Source organism: Homo sapiens, chromosome 3, assembly GCF_000001405.40.
Source record: "Homo sapiens chromosome 3, GRCh38.p14 Primary Assembly".
Lineage (NCBI taxonomy): Eukaryota > Metazoa > Chordata > Mammalia > Primates > Hominidae > Homo > Homo sapiens.
The window spans coordinates 44,562,961-44,582,458 of NC_000003.12; the positions used below are offsets into that span (position 1 = coordinate 44,562,961).

The window sequence follows — 19,498 nt, forward strand, 5'->3', positions numbered from 1 at the left end:
CTCCATCTCAAAAAACAAAAAAAAAAAAAGGAAATTTCTTCTACTAGATACCCTGAATCATTTCTCTCAAGTTCAAAGTTCCACAGATATCTAGAGCAGGGGCAAAATGCTGCTGGTCTCTTTGCTAAAGCATAGCAAGAATGACCTTTGCTCCAGTTCCCAATATGTTTTTCATCTCCATCTGAGACCACCTCAGCCTGGATTTCATTATCCATATCACTATCAGCATTTTAGTCAAAACCATTCAACAAGTGTCTAGGAAGTTCCAAACTTTCCCACATCTTCCTGTCTTCTTTTCAGCCCTCCAAACTGTTTCAGCCTCTACCTGTTACCCAGTTCCAAAGTTGCTTCCACATTTTCAAGTATCTTTATAGCAGTGCCCCACTTTCCTGGTACCAATTTTCTATGTTAGTCCTTTTTCACACTGCTGTAAAGAACTACCTGAGATTAGGTAATTTATGAAGAAAAGAGGTTCAGTCGACTCACAGTTCTGCAGGCTTAACAGAAAGCATGACTGGGAGGCCTCAGGAAACTTAAAATCATAGTGGAAGTTGAAGAGGAAGCAAGGATCCTCTTCACATTGTGGCAGGAAAGAGAGAGCACACAGAGGAAAGTGCCACACACTTTTAAACAATCAGATTTCATGAGAACTCACTATTACAAGAACAGCAAGGGGGAAATCTTCCCCCCCTACCCCCACCCCCCGTGATCCAGTCACTTCCCACTGGGCCCCTCCTCCAATTCAACATGAGATTTGGGCGGGGACAGAAATCCAAACCATATCAAAGTCCTAGATAATGAACAGGAACTTTACCAGGATTAAATTATTAGTGGATTACAAAGTTGAATTATCACAGTGCAGTAAGTTCTACCTTCTGCCAATACCCAGAGCTCCTGTATTGAAGAGCTGTGACTTCCATTTTAGAGAGTCTTTCAGTTTCAAAGAACCTTTCAGTAGGAGAGCTTGGGAACTACAGAATCCAGGGAGCCTGCTGGTCCTACCACTACACTGGTGAGATATATATTAAAGGAGAGAGTCCCTTAACATCTCAGCAGATGCAGCCTAATAGGGTGAATCCTGTGTGGTTTATTGAAGGAGAAGTTATTTTTACCTCATGCTGTGCTATGTACATACCAGAGCAAGTGAACTTTAAAATGTGCCTTATTTAGATAATATTTTAGGTTTTCTGCCCTACATGCTGGTAAAAGGAGCAACCATGAGATTGTGAGGAGCTGGTTTGATGACAATAAGCAAGGGTTAGAAATAAAATGTCTATGTTCTGAGGTATTCTCAAGATCTCTACAGATTAGTGTGTCTGATCTTATTTGGCTTTTAAAATATAAATTATTGGGGAGAAGTAGTACATATTGAAAACTGAGTTTGCAGATAACCTTAAAGTCTTTTAGCAAAATATCAACAGGAAGTCAGTCAGCAGATATTAATTGAACACCATTGTAGGGCTATATGTTGTTTTGGAGCTAGTGATCAAGACAAAAGTTCTTACCCTCAAAAAACTCACACTCTGTTGGGGAAACATAGACAATAAAGACATAAGTAAGATTACTTAAAGATTAATACATGCAATCTAGAAATTATAATTGGTTAATTGAGTCTGACTATCCCTGCTTTGTCAGTGTGCTCAGAGAAAGCTTCTCTGAAGAGGAGATACTTTTGCTCAGAGAAATTGGAAAAGCTCTCCTGGTATGCCAGCCACTGTTCTGGGTATTGCTTCAGCTGTTAGTGTCAGTAGCATTATTTGTGCACATCCACAAATCTTATCTTTTTTTACACTTATCTTTTTTTACCTCCTTTGTACTTCTTTTTTTGTTTGTTTGGTTTTTGTTTTTGTTTTTTTTTGAGACGGAGTCTCGCTCTGTCACCCAGGCTAGAGTGCAGAGGCGTGATCTCGGCTCCCTGCAAACTCCACCTCCCAGGATCAAGTGATTCTCCTGCCTCAGCCTCCCAAGTAGCTGGGACTACAGCTGCGTGCCACCATGCCTGGCTAATTTTTTTGTACTTTTAGTAGAGACAGGATTTCGCCATGTTGGCTAGGCTGGTCTCGAACTCCTGACCTCAGGTGATCCAACCACCTCGGCCTCCAAAAGTGCTGGGATTACAGATGTGAGCCACTGCGCCTGGCCTATCCTTTGTACTTCTGATTATTCCTTTCTGTCAGCTAAGGCCCTAGAGAATGTACTGAATTGCTCTCCTGGCTCCCTTTTTAAATGGTTCTTCATAAGAAAATATGTGTCTGAAGACCTGACACAGAGTGGAAATGGTTATAGAATCTGGTCCTCAAGCCCCTACCAAAAGGGTCAACAGAGGGATGGCAAGTAGAATTGCAAGCTTTAGATTCTGCTTTCACAGTTTTTTTTTTCCCCCAGTAGACTGTAGTGGTGGGGCTGGAAGGACACCCTGGCTCTTCTTTTCCCTGGCTTTCTTTCTGGAGGGAGCTGCTTAGAGGTTTTGGGTTCAGTACCTTCAAGGATGCTCTTTTGAACCCAATTGTATTTCCCTCTCTCTAGGTTTCAGCCCCAGCACAGAAACAGGAAATGCATTTTGAGGAGACAACAGCTCTGGGTACAACAAAGGAATCTCCTCCTACCTCACCCCTCAGTGGGGGCTCAGCCCCTGGAGCCCACCTGGAGCCTCCTTATGACCCAGGGACACACCACCTCCCCAGTGGGGACTTCGGTACTTATCTCCCCAGCTTTGGCCTTAAGTCATGCCTCCCTTCTCTCCTCTGGAGTCTCCTTTCCTTTATCTGCCCATCTCCTACTCCATGGAATCCCTCATTGCTCTGCTGTCTGTCCTTCTTCCCTAGTGACCCTGTTTGTTCCTTTTGCTTATTCTCTAATCATTCGTGTAGTTAGTAAGTTTTCATCAAGGGCATGTCGTAGGAAAGGCACTGCCAGAGACCAGAGAGATGTAGTACATCTATTGTCACTGATTTCAAAGAGCTTGTTATCTAGATGGTAGGATGAGTTAGTCATGTGTAAGAAGAGGCAACCTCATAAGATGCACATGAATGATATCTATCCTCAAGCATTTGATCCTGTCACAAATGAGCAATGTGGGCATTGGAAAAAGTGATCACTGGGTAAAAAGCAAGATCATTGTGGGCTGGAACTGGTAAGGGATGCTTCATGAAGGAGGTAGCAGAGTATTGGGCAGTAAAAATGTGGAAGAATTTTGAAGGGGAGAAAAAAGTAGCAGGCATGCCATTAGAAGACACAACAAAGACCCTAAGCTGGAGATTCCTTGAGCCCTGATTGAGGTGGAGTCAGGAAAGACTGTATTTGGGAACCTGGGCCTTGTTTGTACAGGACCTTGAGATTGAGGCAGGAAGATTTTGGGAGTCAGAGGATAATGTGTTAGAAATAGTATTTCAGGAGGATTACTCTGGCACAGGTGAGCATTATGGATTGAAGGGGAAGGCGCCTTAGTTAAAGGCTGGTGCGGTAGAATAGATGTGATTAATGCCTGAAGTGCAAAGAGAGGAACGGGCAAGGATAAAATTGAAAAATATTATCATGGAAACATCCGTGGGACTTGAGTTTGAAAGGGGAGGCAGGGGAATTAGAATGTTTTGGCCAATGATGGAATCATTGAGGGAAATTGAGAAATCTGAAAGAAAGGTGATAAGAACATTTTATTTATTTATTTAATGTTATTTATTTATTTTTTTTAAAGAGAGATAGGGTCTCACTCTGTCACCCAGGCTGGAGTGCAATGGCACGATCATAATAGCTCACTGTAGCCTTGAACTCCTGGGCTCAAGAAATCCTCCCACCATGGCCTCTTAGAACTACAGGCATGCCACCATGACCAGCTCTTTTTTTTTTTTTAACTTTTTATAGAAATGGGGTCTCCTACTGGGAGCAGTGGCACACACACCTGTAATCCCAGCACTTTGGGAGGCTAAGGCAGGTGGATCACTTGAGGTCAGGAGTTTGAGACCAGCCTGGCCAACATGATGAATCCCTTCCTACTAAAATACAAAAATTAGCCAGGCATAGTGGCAGGTACTTGTAATCCCAGCTACTCCAGAGGCTGAGGCATGAGAATTGCTTGAGCCTGGGAGGCAGAGGTTTCAGTGAGGCATGATCATGCCACTGCACTGCAGCAGAGTGAGACTCTGTCTCAAAACAAAAAGAGAGAGAGAGAGAGAAAGAGAAAGAAAGGAAAGAAAGAAAGAAAAAGAGAAGAGAAAAGAAAAGAGAGAAAAGAAAGAGAGGGAGGGAGGGAGCAAAAGAAAAGAAAGGAAAGGAAAAGAGGAGGGGAAGGGAAGGGAAGAGTGAAGGAAGGGAAGGAAGGAAAGGGAGAAAAAGACAACCTTATGTTGTACATGCTGGTCTTGAATTCCTAGCCTCAAGCCAGCCTCCCACCTTAGCCTAGAACATCCATCCATTCTAGACACTGAACTTAAAGTGTTGCAGGACACCCAAGTGAAATGTCCCATAGGCAATAGGAGGCATGTGGTAGGGGTCTAGGAGAGAAGTAAGAACTGTGAGAGCAGTATTAAAGCAATGAGAGTTGGTCAGATTGCTGACGGAAAGAACAAGGAAGCACTAGGGCCTGAGTTGCAAGGAGTGTCCATAATGAGAGGGCAGGAGCAGGCATGAGGAACCACAACTGTGAGGGGAAAATCAGGGCTGGCTGGTGCTAGGGAAACCATGGGAGAGAGAGTGGCCAGAATAGCTTCCCTGAAAAAAGTTGAAGAGAGTGAGGGCTTGGAGGAACACCCAGTTCTCAGCTTGATCCGGGACCTTGTACTGTACCCTCCAGGGAAAATTCACACCACTCTTGGGATAATGCCTTATGGAAGAGGTTAAGAGTCAGTGTGTGTGGAGGTGCCTGGGTTCTCTTGAATCCACTTATTGGGAATATAGATCTTATGGGAGCCAGAAGCAGGGCTTGTCCCACTCATAGCTTTCTTTCCTCCCTCAGCTCAATGTACTTCTCCAGTTCCTACCCTTCCTCAAGTGGGGAACTCAGGAGACCAAGCAGGGGCAACTGTACTTCGGATGGTCAGGCCCCAGGTGAGCTTGGTTCTTTGTGTTTTTACCAAGTCCCCATGAGTCTGGTCCAAGAATGGCTAGAGGTCTCACCCCCAGGACTCTGCCCCATCTAAGACTATTCCTGTGGCTCTCCTGCCTCATTACTTCCCCTGGAGGTAATGGACTCTATCTTGCCCTGGACTTGTCCTTTTCGAGGTGTCATCTCAGCTCCTCTCTCCCATACTTTTGCCCATGAAGAGCCCATACCCTGTGCCCTTCGTACCCCTGATGACTCTGCCCTTCAGGCTGTGAATGTTCCTGAGCGATTGGAGCTTGTCATTCCAGGATACTGTGGCATATGAGGACCTATCTGTAGACTACACTCAGAAGAAATGGAAAAGTCTCACACTCAGTCAGAGAGCCCTGCAGTGGAACATGATGCCAGAAAATCACCATAGCATGGCCTCCTTGGGTAATGATTCTGTTTCCTAGTCACTTAAAGTCTGCATGCTGCACAATCTCTTTTCTATATTCCTTGTCTCTTTAAACTTTTTACCATGAAAATTTCCAAACATAGTTAAACTAGAGTGAATAATATAGGGACCCTTTCTGCATTCATCACTGAGATTCAACAGTGATCAGCATACTCTTCACCTCATTATGAATTGATATAGTGTGGTTTAGGTAGGGCTTCTTAGTTGTAAGGAACAGAGAGCCACTCAAGTTATTGTAAGTAAGGAGCTGTGAGTCATAGGCTTAAAGGAATGAGAACCTGGAAGAAACTGATGAGCTAGACCAGACTGTGGGAAGCAGGGCCTTGACCCTGGGAGCCTGAGCTGCAAAAGCAAATGCATGTTGATGCCTGTGTTCCAGTGTGAATGTAATGCAGCTGCTCGCAGTGTATCTGTTTTCTCTCTGCTTGTCCTCCTCCTCTTGCCCATTTTCTTCACTGTGAATCTTTTGTCCTTTTCATAGCTCTTTTAATTTTACTTTCTGTTCTTTTACACTTGTTGCTTGCTGTGTTTCCTAATGGCTTGGCTTCTCTCCATGCGCCACTTCAGCTTCCATTGCTACTCGTAAGTGCCTTAATTTTGCCCTACCTCCAGTTCCAAATTTCCTCAGAGATGGACTTTCATTGCTATAGCCATTACGCATCATCTCATTTGGGCACAGGGGTTTGGCCCAGGCCACAGCAGAGGCTGAAGCCTAACCTACAAATAGACCCTTCAGTCTAGTACCTGGTGCCAGTCCAATCACCTGTGGCCCATCGTGGGATGCTCAGGGTCACTTGGCACCAAGCATGGTTGCCTAAGCATCCCTCTCTGCAAACACTGGGGCAGAACAGTTTCCTGAAAGGGCTTCTTGGAAGGGCAGATCCTGTGGTTGACGAGTTTAGGGCAGTCTTTTTACTGTCCTATCATGTAAGATCTGTTCTTTTTGTACACTTTCCTTATCATACCTCCATAATATAAATTTCCAGTCAATTCACTCTCATTTTTTTCCCTGTCTCTTTCTTATGTTTGGCTTGAGGTATTTGCCAGCCTCCTCTCTCCCAACATGTTTTCTGAGAACAATGGAACCATGCAATGTTATGGTTGGAAGGGATCTTAGAGTTCATCACTTTACTAAGGAGACATAGCACGAGAGTAACTTCTGTAAGATCACAGCATGCTTTGCAATCCACTTTTTTGCTTTCCAGTGGCCCTTCTGACTTGGTTGTGCTGGCTTAGTATCTTTTTTCCACCTGTTTTCACTGACCACCTTCCCCTTCCTTGTTTTCCTGTCCCTAGGGAAAAAAAATTGAGCTATTAATATTTCCCATTTTGCTCTTGTTCTCAATGTGTCATCTCATTTCTTAACCATAATGTGACTTTTTTTCAGGTATGTTAGCTCTTAATGATTCTCTTTCTTAAACAGGATAAGAAATGGGTAAAAGTTGTTGTCTTCTTTCTTTGGGCAGCAGGTGAGAACATGATGAAGGGTTCAGAGTTGACTCCAAAGCAGGAATTTTTTAAAGGATCAGAGTCATCTAACAGGACATCAGGGGGACTCTTTGGGGTGGTTCCTGGGGCAGCAGAGACTGGAGATGTTTGTGAAGATACTTTCAAGGAGTTAGAAGGACAAACCTCAGATGAAGAAGGGAGCAGACTAGAAAATGATTTCTTGGAAATAACAGATGAAGATAAGAAAAAATCCACAAAAGACAGATATGACAAATATAAGGAAGTTGGGGAACATCCACCTCTGTCTTCCAGTCCTGTTGAACATGAAGGAGTTTTAAAGGGACAGAAATCCTATCGATGTGATGAATGTGGCAAAGCTTTCAATCGGAGTTCTCACCTTATTGGCCATCAGAGAATCCACACTGGAGAGAAACCCTATGAGTGTAATGAGTGTGGGAAGACCTTCAGGCAAACCTCCCAGCTCATTGTTCATCTCAGAACCCACACAGGGGAAAAACCCTATGAATGCAGTGAGTGTGGAAAGGCCTATAGGCACAGCTCCCATCTCATTCAACACCAGAGACTCCATAATGGGGAGAAACCCTATAAATGTAATGAATGTGCAAAAGCCTTTACTCAGAGTTCCCGACTCACTGACCACCAGAGAACCCATACTGGGGAGAAACCTTATGAATGCAATGAGTGTGGAGAGGCATTCATTCGAAGCAAAAGTCTTGCTCGACATCAGGTCCTGCACACTGGTAAGAAACCTTACAAATGCAATGAGTGTGGGAGAGCATTCTGTTCCAATAGAAATCTCATTGACCATCAGAGAATCCACACTGGGGAGAAGCCTTATGAGTGTAGTGAATGTGGCAAAGCCTTCAGTCGGAGTAAATGTCTTATTCGACATCAGAGCCTCCATACTGGGGAAAAGCCATACAAATGTAGTGAATGTGGGAAAGCCTTCAATCAGAACTCTCAACTCATTGAGCATGAGCGAATTCATACTGGAGAAAAACCTTTTGAATGTAGCGAGTGTGGTAAGGCATTTGGTCTGAGTAAATGTCTTATTCGGCACCAGAGACTTCACACGGGTGAAAAGCCCTATAAATGCAATGAGTGTGGAAAATCCTTCAATCAAAACTCACACCTTATTATACACCAGAGAATTCACACTGGTGAGAAACCCTATGAATGTAATGAGTGTGGGAAGGTATTCAGTTATAGCTCCAGCCTTATGGTACATCAGAGAACCCATACTGGGGAAAAACCCTATAAATGCAATGATTGTGGGAAAGCTTTTAGTGACAGCTCACAGCTTATTGTACACCAGAGAGTCCACACCGGAGAGAAACCTTATGAATGTAGTGAATGTGGGAAAGCCTTTAGTCAGCGTTCCACTTTTAATCACCACCAGCGAACTCACACTGGAGAGAAGTCCTCAGGTCTGGCTTGGTCAGTTTCTTAAGGTATGGTTCTCTGAGACAGAGAGCAACGACCTTTGAGTTAAGCTGTCTTTATAAGCAGGATGCTCATAGTGGTTTCCCGGAGCCAGTAGTCACGGTGGACCATTCCCTACTTGCTTTTCCTTGGATCACTAAGGTGGGAGAGTAGGAGTAACTTATTCCAGTTCTTACCCATTATTAGGAAGGTAAGGACTACACATGTCATTGAATTGTAGGTTTCCTTTTTTTTTCTTTACTTTTAAATTTTAACTTTTAAAATCTATTTCATTTCTTAGTTATGCATCTCATAATCAGACTCCATGCTTTTTAAAGACAGAGATAATATCTTCTCTATTCTATTCTACTTCCTCCATTTCACCATTTATACAAAGTCATTCAAAAAGGCTGATTCATGCCTTCCTGCCTCTTGGCTATGGCCCTCCCCATCTACTCTTTAAACTTTAATCTATAACTTTTCATCAGTTTTGTTCCCTATCTAGAAAACATTTTCTTCTGTTTGCTAATCTTTGTCCCTCACAATTTTTGAAATCCATCTCATCACTGAAATACTTTCTTCTTCAAGTACTTTTTTATTTTTCTTCAACTTCTCTTGATTTGACCTCAGTGCTTTGAATTCACTGGTGCTACAATATGTAACTGTGGTTAATTGCCTTGTAAATTTTGCGTGTCTGTATACTTTTATACCAACTTATTGTAGGCTCTTTGAGGTCAGGTATGTATTTCTTTCCCATATAGATAGTATTTTGTACATACCAGTTGTTAAATAAATAATTTTTAAAATCTCAGCTCTCACATTGAATTATCCTTAAAGTATGCACGATCTTTCTCCCCTCCCCAGCTGGACCAGCTGCTTCTAAAGATGGAAGTCCATCTCATCATAGAATATCACATACAGAGGTCTTACTGATATCTTTTACATATACTCCTGGAAGTCTTACTACTGTTACTTCAGCCTCAAAATGCGAATGGATTTTGTGTGTGTGTGTGTGTGTGTGTGTGTGTGTGTGTGTGTGTGTATGTATGCAAAAGAGAGAGAGTGTGTGTGTGTGTGTATGTGTGTGAATGTGTGTGTATCTAGGTATTGGGTTGGGCAGTCATATCCCACTGGTACGGACTTTCCCCTACATGCTGATTCTAGTTCTGAATTTGCTAACTGTACCCTGCTTCCTAAATCAACAGATTAAGAACTGTGTCAGCTGGGCGCAGTGGCTCACGCCTGTAATCCCAGGACTTTGGGAGGCTGAGGCAGGCGGATCACGAGGTCAGGAGGTGGAGACCATCCTGGCTAACACGGTGAAACTCTGTCTTTACTAAAAAATACAAAAAATTAGCCAGGCGTGGTGGGGGGCGCCTGTAGTCCCAGCTATTCGGGAGGCTGAGGCAGGAGAATGGCATGATCCTGGGAGGCAGAGCTTGCAGTGAGCCAAGATCGCACCACTCCACTCCAGCCTGGGCAACAGAGCGAGACTCTGTCTCAAAAAAAAAAAAAAAAAAAAAGAACTGTGTCAAAATTTACTGCACCGAAGACTTGACTTTCATAGCAGTGGTACAGATTATTGAAAATCCAGCTAGCAGCATTCCCTGATGCTTGGAATTCACTATGACGAGGCTTGTGGCAAGATAATAGATTCACAGGAATCTGTTTTCCTTATCGACTAGTCCTATCTACCTACAACTGCCATCTTAATTTAAAGATGAGAGCTGTACCCTTAATTATCATAATTGTCTTCTGGACCATCTTTTCATTCCCCGAAGACATAAGAAAAGAAATCTCAGAAGATTTTCTGTCCTTCTGCCATCACATGTCAGTCCATGAGCTTGAACAACTTTTCCCTTCCACCCTTGCAATATGGCCCAGATCTGGGGGACGTTTGCCTCTGTTGTCTACCTCCTTCTCTTTCCATCCCTTAAACTTAATAGGTTTAGAGGATCCACAGTGTGACAGAGTAGAGGAGGAGGCTAGAGGAGCCATGCGAGTTATATAATCTGGAGGGGAGATTTTTTTGAGGTGTGGTGTATGTTTTAACATAGAAGAAAGGGTGGAGTTGAGGCATAGGAAAATAAGATTAGATGTGATTCTAGGGACATATCTCAGGCAAGTTTAGAAAGAATAATAGGAATCCTGAAAACACTGAACCCAGGACAGAACTGAAAATTTGCCACTTATGAATATATATTTTAAATTTGTTTTCAACTTTATATTTAGTATGTGTTTCCATTTTCCTTTAGAAGATATGCAGATAGGACTTTTTCATTGTTTTAGTTTGGAAGCTCCCAGATCCCAGGGACAAGCCCAACCCTATATGAGCACATGGGTCCAGCCCTCTACCCTGAGCTGGACATTTCTGGTTAAGTCTTCAATAGAACGTTCCTGCTTATTGGATGTTGCAGTTTTACCTTCTGGTTCTTGTCTGCTCATCGCCTACCACACTAACCCTCTAGAGGTTGGAAACCTGCACTATTCATAACTAAGGTGGGAATAGTAGGGAAAAAAAGAGTAGATGTAGGGAATTCTACACCAGTGTGTGCCTTGACATCCTTAAAAGCCTGAGGCTTTTGAATGGAGGAAAATTGGCTGCATTTGAAAGCCATACCTCAAATTCTATTGGTTACTGCTAGCATAAACTTAAAAAAAATTTAAATCTGGACTGTTATGTTGCTGAATTATTTTTAGTTTTAATGGTTTTTTAGTTTCATTTTCTAGGTATATAATAAATTAATGGCTCCTTTAGCTTTAAATTTTCTTTTTTTTCTTGGAGACAGGGTCTCACTTTCTTACCCAGGCTGGAGTACAGTGATGTGATCATGGCTTACTGCAGCCTCAACTTTCCAGGCTCAGGTGATTCTCCCACTTCAGCCTCCCAAGTAGCTTGGACTACAGGTGCATGCCACCATGCCCAGCTAATTTTTTGATATTTTTTGTAGAGATGGGTTTTCACCATGTTGCCCAGGCTGGTCTTGAACTCCTGGGCTCAAGCGGTCCGCCTGTCTTGGCCTACCAAAGTACTGAGATTACAGGTGTGAGCTGGCCTTATTTTCAATCTTATGCCACTTATGTTGTGCATTAGCAAGAACTTCCAAAAATGTTGAGTAGTAGATAACAGGTCTTCTATGTCTTGTTCTAAAATCTCAGGAGGGATGTTTTTAGTATTTCACATTTTCATTTGCGTTCATTGTTGGATATTGATAAATATTCTGTTGCGTTTAGGAAGTTTCCTTCTAATATTATTTCTAGAGGAAGCAGGGTAATATAGTGGTTAACAACACAGGTTTGGGGTGGACACGGTGGCATGTGCCTGTAATCCCAGCACTTTGGGAGGCTGAGGCAGGTGGATCACTTGAGGTCAGGAGTTCAAGACCAGCCTGGCCAACATGGCAAAACCCCATCTCTATTAAAAATATAAAAATTGGCCAGGTGTGGTGGCAGGCACCTGTAATCCCAGCTACTTGGAAGGCTGAGGCAGGAGAATTGCTTGAACCTGGGAGGTGGAGACTGCAGTGAGCCAAGATCTCACCATTATACCCCAGCCTGGGTGACAAGAGCAAGACTTCATCTCAAAAGAAAAACAAAACAAAACAAAATGAACAAACAAAAAACATGTCTGTGCCCAGCAACCTATGTTCAAATTCTGGGTCCAGTCAGGTGTGGTGGCTCACACCTGTAATCCCAGCGTTTTGGGAGGTGAAGGCAGGAGGATCACTTGAGGTCAGGAGTTTGAGACCAGCCTGGGCAACACGTCAAGACCCTGTCCCTAAATAAATAAAAAAATATATTAGTTGGGTGTATTGGTGCATGCCTTTAGTCCTAGGTATTCAGGAGACTGAGGCAGGAGGATTGCCCGAGCCTGGGAGGCCATGGCTCCAGTGAGCTATCATTGCACCACTGCAATCTAGCCTAGGCAATGAGTGAGACCCTGTCTTAAAAAATAATCTGCATGTCCACCACTTTGTTAGGTGTGTAACTGTGGGAAAATCACCTAGCTTTCCTGTGTCTCAGCTCTTCCGTCTCTAAAGTGGAGCTACTTCATAGGGTTGTGAGGATTAAATTAGTCAGTATGTGTAAGGTACTTAAAACAGTGATTGACACATAGTATACACTATAATAAAAGTTTTATTAGGAATAGTTGCTAAGTTTTATCAAGTTATAAAAAATCTAAAAGTTCCCAAATAATTGAAATTTTCTTGTATTCCTGGGATAAATCTATTTTATTTATTTATTTAGAGACAGAGTTTCACTCTTGTTGCCCAGGCTGGAGTGCAATGGCACGATCTCGGCTCACTGCAACCTCCGCCTCCCAGGTTCAAGCAATTCTCTTGCCTCAGCCTCCTGAGTAGCTGGGATTACAGGCATGTGCCACCATGCCAGGCTAATTTTTGTATTTTTAGTAGAGACAGGGTTTCTCCATGCTGGTCAGGCTGGTCTCGAATTCCCGACCTCAGGTGATCCGCCCGCCTCGGCCTCCCAAAGTGCTGGGATTACAGGCATGAGCCACTGCGCCTGGCCTTATTATTATTATTATTTTTTAAAGTTCAGAAGTAGATTCAATTTGCCAATATTTTGCTGGCTGTGCAAAATGAATTTGGAAGTTTTTTTTCTTTTATTACTCTGGAACAGTATGCATAATATAGCAGTTATTCCTTAAAGGCTAGCTAGAAATGACGCATTCTGATATATATATAATTTTTTTCCCCTGGTGTTTGGATGTGGCAGTAGCATCCTTGCAGTTTTTTTCAGTGGTTTTGTTCTTCAGGTTTTCTACTTCTGTGTAAATTTTTCTAATATGTATCTGGAAATCGTATTTACTATTCTGTCAAACGTTGGCATAAAGTTACACCTAGTATTCTGTAAGATTCTTTTCCTCTGTTCTGTATATGTAATTGACCTCTTTTTCCATATATAGTCATATCCACAGGGAATTGGTTCCAGGATGCCCCTATCTCAGATATCAAAGCCCTCAGATGCTCCTTTACAGTCAGTCAGCCCTCCATATCCTCAGAATATGTGGATGCGGAACCCAAGAATACAGGGGGCCAACTGTATGATGTTTTGCATTTTGGTTTCCCTTCAGTTTTTTTTTTACTTTCAGGATTACCAAAGGCAGTGTATCTTGTTTCTCTTTTTGAATTTCATTTCTCTTGAATTTTTTTTTCATATGTTCTTTTACTGCCTTAAGTTGCCAAGGCTTTGCATTGCCTTCACATACATTTGCTTTTTCCTCATTAGTGAATGACAAGGGCTTTCCAGTCCTGATATTTGTCTGCAGATAGGGAAATGGATTTCCCTTTACATTCCAAGTAGGTGCTATTAAAACTGTCCCTTTAGATCTGAAGCTAAAAGGTTAGTTGTAAATTTATGTAACTCTGCACTTCAGCAGTAGAGAAGCAGCTTCAATTTTGCTAAGCTGGTTGAAAATTTTTCACTCAGGGCCAACTTTTATATCTAGCTTTCTTTTTGGCTCAGCCTCCAGGCTAGTTATCCAGTGGAGCCTCCTTCCAAGTTCTCTGCCTCATTGGAAATAGCTTGGTTGTGAAAGAACTGAATGTGGAAAACCCTTCAGTCACAAGTCATTACTCCACATTGGAAACAAAATCTTTTTTTTTTTTTTAAGTGACAGGGTCTTACTCTGTCACCCAGACTGGAGTGCAGTGGTATGATCATGGCTTACTGCAACCTCAACTTCCTAGGTTCAAGGGATCTTTGCACCTCAGCCTCCTGAGTAGTTAGGACTACAGGCGCATGTTACCATACCTGGCTAATTTTTAAAAAAATTTTTATAGAGACAGGAGTCTTACTATGTTGCCTAGAGTAGACTTGAACCCCTGGCCTCAAGCAACCCTCCTGCTTTGGCCTCCCAAAGTGCTGGGATTACAGGTGTGAGCCACCATGCCCAGCCCAAATAACCAATTCTTTTTTTTTTTGTTTTTTTTTAGGAATGGTTGCTTTCAACATTTTCCAGGTTGTGAAAGGTTTGCCACGATTCTCAGGGGTGTGGTTCTAAGCTGCATCAGTGGAACAAATACAAAATGCTGTCCTCCTCCCAGGCTGGAAGGCAGTGCACTTTCTCCTCTTAACAGCCAGACTAGCGGGTGAGGAGTCAGTGCTGTGACCCAGGCCAAGCTGGAGTGTCCGCATGGCTTTTTCTCTGACCAGTGGGGATTCCATCTATCTTGAGGCGTGCTGGCTGGGCCCCGTTTCCACACCAGCACATGGTGAGACAGGGTAGCTTATCAACAGGCTGCTGGGCCTTAATACTGACAGTGAGTGTGGGGGGTCACAGCCAGGAAGGGACTAACACAGATGCCCGCCCAGCCCCCACTGCTGGCCTAATTTTAGAATACCACGGAAAAAAGCTTTGATGAAGACAACAGGAAGTCAACACAGCAGAGAGTGGTGTGGACAACCCAGAAGCCAGCCTCACGCATTCCATGCCCACAGTTAACGATGACAACAACAGCAGTAAAACAAAGGTACAGGTGAAAAGCAGCGCTCGGGGTGTGCTGCTGCAAGCTGGGGAAGGTGCGTGCTCAACTTGGATGGGACACACCTAGTCTTTCTTCAAGTCCCTGGATTCAAAGAGCTTCAACCGTTCTTGCACCGTCAGGCCTTCCTTCAGACTCTTGGACCTGATGTTTCTGAGTTGCCAGGTGACACAGGATCTGTCTTTCTTCAAGAAGTCAGGGTTGCTTTTAGATTTCATTATATCATATCCGGACACCATGGCACTGTCAGGGGACTTTTCCCCCAGTGCTTCCGTTGCAGCCTTAAGCTGCTCTTTCAACCTGCTGATGTCACAGTCAGCCTTAGCCTTTGCGATGCTGAGCTCTGTGTAGATGTCTTTGTGGTGTCACTTGCGTACTTCTTGTCCCACAGTGCTGTCTGCAGCTCATCCTTGAGGGAGCTAATCTCCTGTTTCAGGTACTGTATTTCCGATTCCTATATCCGCAATAAGACTTCTAGTTCATAGGCATCCTTGCCCTGTGCAAGGGGTGACCCAGTGGCCTCCCCACCGCCGTCCCCAGTCAGCAGCGTCCGCAACCGTGTGATCTCTGCAGCCAGGCGGTTGTTCAGCTCCTGGTTGTGGGCATTGAGCTCCTGGTTCTCACGCTGGCACTGCCGCAGGGCCTGCTGCCCGGCCTCCAGCGCCTGGGCCAGATGGGCATTCTCCAGGCACTTCTGCGAGTACTGCTCCGAGAGGACCTCCAGTTCCCGCTGCACCGACTGCAGCTCCTCCAGGTACTGGCGCCGCAGGGCCTCAACATCCGAGTTGACGCTGCTGATCTGGGACCGCTGGCTCTTCTCCAGCTCCCGCTCCATCTCCTCCCGGTGGGCGTTCTTCATGGCTTCGATGGCTGAGATGGTGGCCGCTGTCTCCTCGGCTAGGAGTCGGTCTTTCTCTTCTCGAAGTTTCTCTAGCTCCCGCTGGTGCTGCCTCTGGAGATCTTCAATCTTCTTCTGGTGCGTTTCTTCCATTGCTGCAAACCCTCACTTGCACGTGGCCTGCAGCATGTAGCCCTCACGGGCGCTCTGCTCCCGGCCCAGGGCCACCCTCAGCTGGTCCTGCAGGAGCCGGTTCTGCTCCAGAAGGTCTGAGGCCTCCTTCTGGCTCTGCTCCAGCTCCTTCTTGAGCAGAGAGGTCAGCTCGTGTGTGGAGAGCCGGTCACCCCCATCTTCAGAAGACAGGTGGACGGGGACGATGGGCACCTGCTTCTCTTCCCGGAGAGGCGTGGTCTCCACCTGATGCCACCGCTGCTCGATCTCCACGTGGACGTTATGCGTCTTGAGGTCGCTCACAGGCAGCCCTGGGCTCCGGTCCACCTCCATGCGCAGGGCTGCATCCTCAGTGCCTGGCCCGCCTGTGGCGTCCAGCATCCCGAAGTGCTTGCGGCGCTCCTCCCGCCTCCGTGCACGCTCCCGCTCCAGCTCCCCAGGCTCCGCCTCAGGGCGCAGGGGCTCGTGGGTGTCAGCAGGCCCCACACCGCCCACCCGCTCCTGATTCAGGGCCTGCTGGATGGGACGGAACTCAGCCCAGTCAAAGGTCTTGGAGAGGCCCTCTCGCCTCCGCTCCCACGTGCGGCTCCTCTTCTGCTCAGGGTCCGGCTCCCCCGGCTCTGCCTCTTGCTTCTCAGTAGGCCTCGGGCAGGTCTCAAAAGAGCAGCTGCTCTTGTTTTTTTCCTCTGGCAACCAGCTGGTCACATCCGGGGCGGTGGTCGGGTGCACATGCTTCATGATGGTCTGGATCCAGTTCCGCCGAATCCCAGATGTCATGGCCGACGGGGTAAACTCGCCCTCCTTTGTATGTATCTGGAAGCCATAGTTTCTCTGAACTGGATACTCTGTGACATCGTAACATGCAGACAAGTCAATTTCTCCATCCAAGTCGGCTGCCTCCTCAGCCACTGAATCCCTGTAGTATCTCAGGCTTTGATCGGCGAGGACAAACCAGTGTTTCTTCCACTGGCTGTCCTCATACTGCTTAGTCAGCCAGCCTTTCTTGAAATTCAGCAGGTCGGGCGTCACGGAGGGCTCTGTGGACCTCCTGTCCAGTGACTTGGCTCTTCGGTGTGGAGACGGGGGAAGCCGAGGCGTCTGGGAGAGGAGCTTGGGGGGGGGCTTCATTGGTGAAGTCCTGCTTGCTAGGGAACGCCCTTTTCTCGCTGCGGCCCTGGCGTGTGTCACTGGATGGCGAGGGCCCCACTGCATTGGTCTCCATGTGCTCTGCCTTCTCAATGTCCAAGGCCTCAAACTTTTCAATCACCTGGGACCTCCTGTGGTTGGGGGTGCTGGGGCTGGGAGGGGAGAGCGGCGGGGGCAGCTGCTGTTCTTCGGCCTTCAAGTCGTGTTTGGTCTTCTCCAGAGAGAAGTAGCTGCTCTCCCCCCGGACTTTGCGGCCACAGTCCATGCGGTCGCTACTCATGGCGCTCTCCTCTTCTTTGCTCTCCAGCCCAGGTTCCCGCAGGGAGCTGGCAGCAGGAGGCTGGCTCTGGCTGGGACTCTGAGCTGGACTCAGACTGCTGCCATCTGGCTGGTCCTTGGTCCTCATTTCTTCCTGCCAGAGTGTGGACTTGGTGGTGGGGACTTTCTCAGCACTGGGGATGCTGCTGCTGCTGCTGCTGCTGGTGGTAACAGCCACCTTGGCAGGCCCAGGCTCCTGCGGTGTGGGGGGCTCCACTTTCCATTTCTTCTTCTGATTCTGCTTGTTGGTCCGGGGATAGACCATGAGCATCTCCAGCCACCCACTGACGATCTCCTTGGTCTCCGCCCGGATGAAATGCTCCTTCTCAGGCGTCAGAATACACAGGGAGAACCTCTGGCCCGTGCGGCCCTCCCCATCCACCACATCTGTGCACTGGTTCATGTTGATGGTGCCCTGAGGAAGGGTCGTGGGCATCTCATCCAGGGCGTAGCGCAAGAGGCCATGCTCGTAAAGGATGAAGAACTGTCGCTGCCATTTCGGAGACCGGTGCACTGAGTTGTCAAAGTCGGTCCCATCTGGAGCCAGGAGGAGCCAACCGCCATAAATGGGTTTTGCCTGCGTCAGGTCCTCGTCGTTGAGGAGATGCGACTCGCGGGGCTGGAAGCAGTTCTGACACTTGCTCTTGTTGAAGATGTTGGCCTGGAATTTCCTGCACGGGTTCTCCTTGGCTGCCGACATGGTCGGCGCGGCGGCGGCGGCGGCGCAGGCCCGGCCGGCCTGGCGCTCCCGGCGGGCTAGGGGCTCAGCGCGGCCGCCGCCGCATCCCTCGCCGGCCCTGCCACAGGCCCTGACCGGCCTCCTTCCCTGCGGGCGGCTCGCTGCACGCGCCGAGGCTCCTGAGCCGCCCGGGCCTCACAGCGCGCGCGACGCCCAGCTCCCGCCCGCACCGCCGCCGCCCAGCCGCCGTGGGCCCAAGGACGCGGCCTCGGGCCCGCTGCTTCCCGCTGCGGCCCGCCTCTCAAGCTCCGGTCGCCGCCGTCCCGGCTCGTCCGCGCCGCCACAGCTGCCCTCAGCGCCCCGCGGCCGCTGCAAATGACCAATTCTTAAGATATGTGAAAAACCATTCAGTTGTAGCAAACATCATACACCAGAGACTTTGTTTGACATCAGATAAATCACACGGGTTAGAGAACTTTTTGGTTTTTAGAGGTCAAGGAATCATTCATCATGAGCTTCCATATTTTGCACATATTTCTGAAAAATATTCCTGAAGTGGAAAAGTTTTGTTATACAACACATAGTTCCTGGTACATGAGGGAACCCACGAAAAAAGGTATCAGTAAACAGTGTTACAGAACTTCCAATTTAATATATATATGTTTTAGTCAAACAGAATTCAAACCCAAGGACAGTTTAGGTGGTGGTCAGACCCAGTGAAGGTGCTGGGAGTGGTATACTTACTCACTTACCTCTTAAACATGCAATGAAAATATTCTACAGCCAAACCCTTATCATAAACTCCAGCCCTGGTCATTCAGCTTCTAAATGCAGTAGGAAATGTCAAGAGATGGTGGATGTTAACAAGTTATTGAGTACTGTCCCATGTTGGGAGACAGTTCTGTCAAGATGTTGACCTTTTTCTGGAGTACTACAGAGCGTGCATTCCTGAAAACCTCTAGGGGTTAGGGACAGGTTGTGAATTTGTCAATTGTGAATACGCACATGGTGGCACTATAAAAAGAATTGAAAGTAAATCCCCTATCCCTAACATCAGGTCATGCTCTGCCCTGATGGGGACCAGTAGAATTTGCCACAGCTGGATACAGGGAAGGTGTTAACGATTACAGCTGGCTCCACAAGCACCTAGTGGTGCTAGTACTTGATCCAGGATAGGACATTTTAGATTTATTATTCACCAAATCATAACAGTCCTCCACTAATATATGCACAGGGTCACTTTACCCAGGTGGATGCCAAGTAGGGTGAGATGCAGACTCCCTTTTAAGGCATGTGAGTGCTTTACATGAAAACACAATAGGAGAGCAATGTATGACGGCCCACCTTTCTGGCCTGTGGGTATTCCTGAAATGATGCCTGGTTAAGACTTGTCAACTGACTAAAATTACAATGTTTTTTCCCCTTAGATGGCCTAGTCCACAAACTTAAAAAG

General features: G+C 46.3%; 1 protein-coding gene, 1 long non-coding RNA gene and 1 pseudogene across 11 annotated transcripts in view, besides 1 other annotated feature; 1 reads left to right on the forward strand and 2 right to left on the reverse strand.

Moving 5' to 3' along the window:
- Nucleotides 1-19,498, forward strand: part of ZKSCAN7 (zinc finger with KRAB and SCAN domains 7) — a 28,291-nt gene that overhangs the window by 7,768 nt on the left and 1,025 nt on the right. For 2 of the 10 annotated variants that reach the window (XM_047448582.1, XM_047448581.1), the window contains exons 3-6: nucleotides 2,527-2,695; nucleotides 4,952-5,043; nucleotides 5,347-5,473; nucleotides 14,345-18,692. In XM_047448582.1, the coding sequence (XP_047304538.1) occupies nucleotides 2,527-2,695; nucleotides 4,952-5,043; nucleotides 5,347-5,473; nucleotides 14,345-14,412 (456 nt within the window). In that variant the 3' untranslated portion in view covers nucleotides 14,413-18,692. Of the gene's footprint in view, nucleotides 1-2,526; nucleotides 2,696-4,951; nucleotides 5,044-5,346; nucleotides 5,474-6,961; nucleotides 9,199-14,344; nucleotides 18,693-19,498 lie in introns of those variants that run through there. The other 8 variants (NM_018651.4, NM_001288590.2, XM_047448579.1 and 5 more) reach the window with 5 other exon arrangements.
- The window catches only part of ZKSCAN7-AS1 (ZKSCAN7 ZNF cluster antisense RNA 1), a 128,297-nt gene that overhangs the window by 5,604 nt on the left and 103,195 nt on the right, over nucleotides 1-19,498 (reverse strand). The gene's annotated exons all lie outside the window — the stretch shown is intronic.
- Nucleotides 14,470-18,343, reverse strand: MPRIPP1 (myosin phosphatase Rho interacting protein pseudogene 1; annotated as a pseudogene).
- Nucleotides 17,682-18,182: an enhancer, noted in NCBI's record as "H3K27ac hESC enhancer chr3:44622134-44622634 (GRCh37/hg19 assembly coordinates)". NCBI's record gives its function as "activates a minimal SCP1, AML or CMV promoter by ChIP-STARR-seq in naive H9 embryonic stem cells {active_cell/tissue: H9 hESC(naive)}" and the evidence as "EXISTENCE:reporter gene assay evidence [ECO:0000049][PMID:30033119]".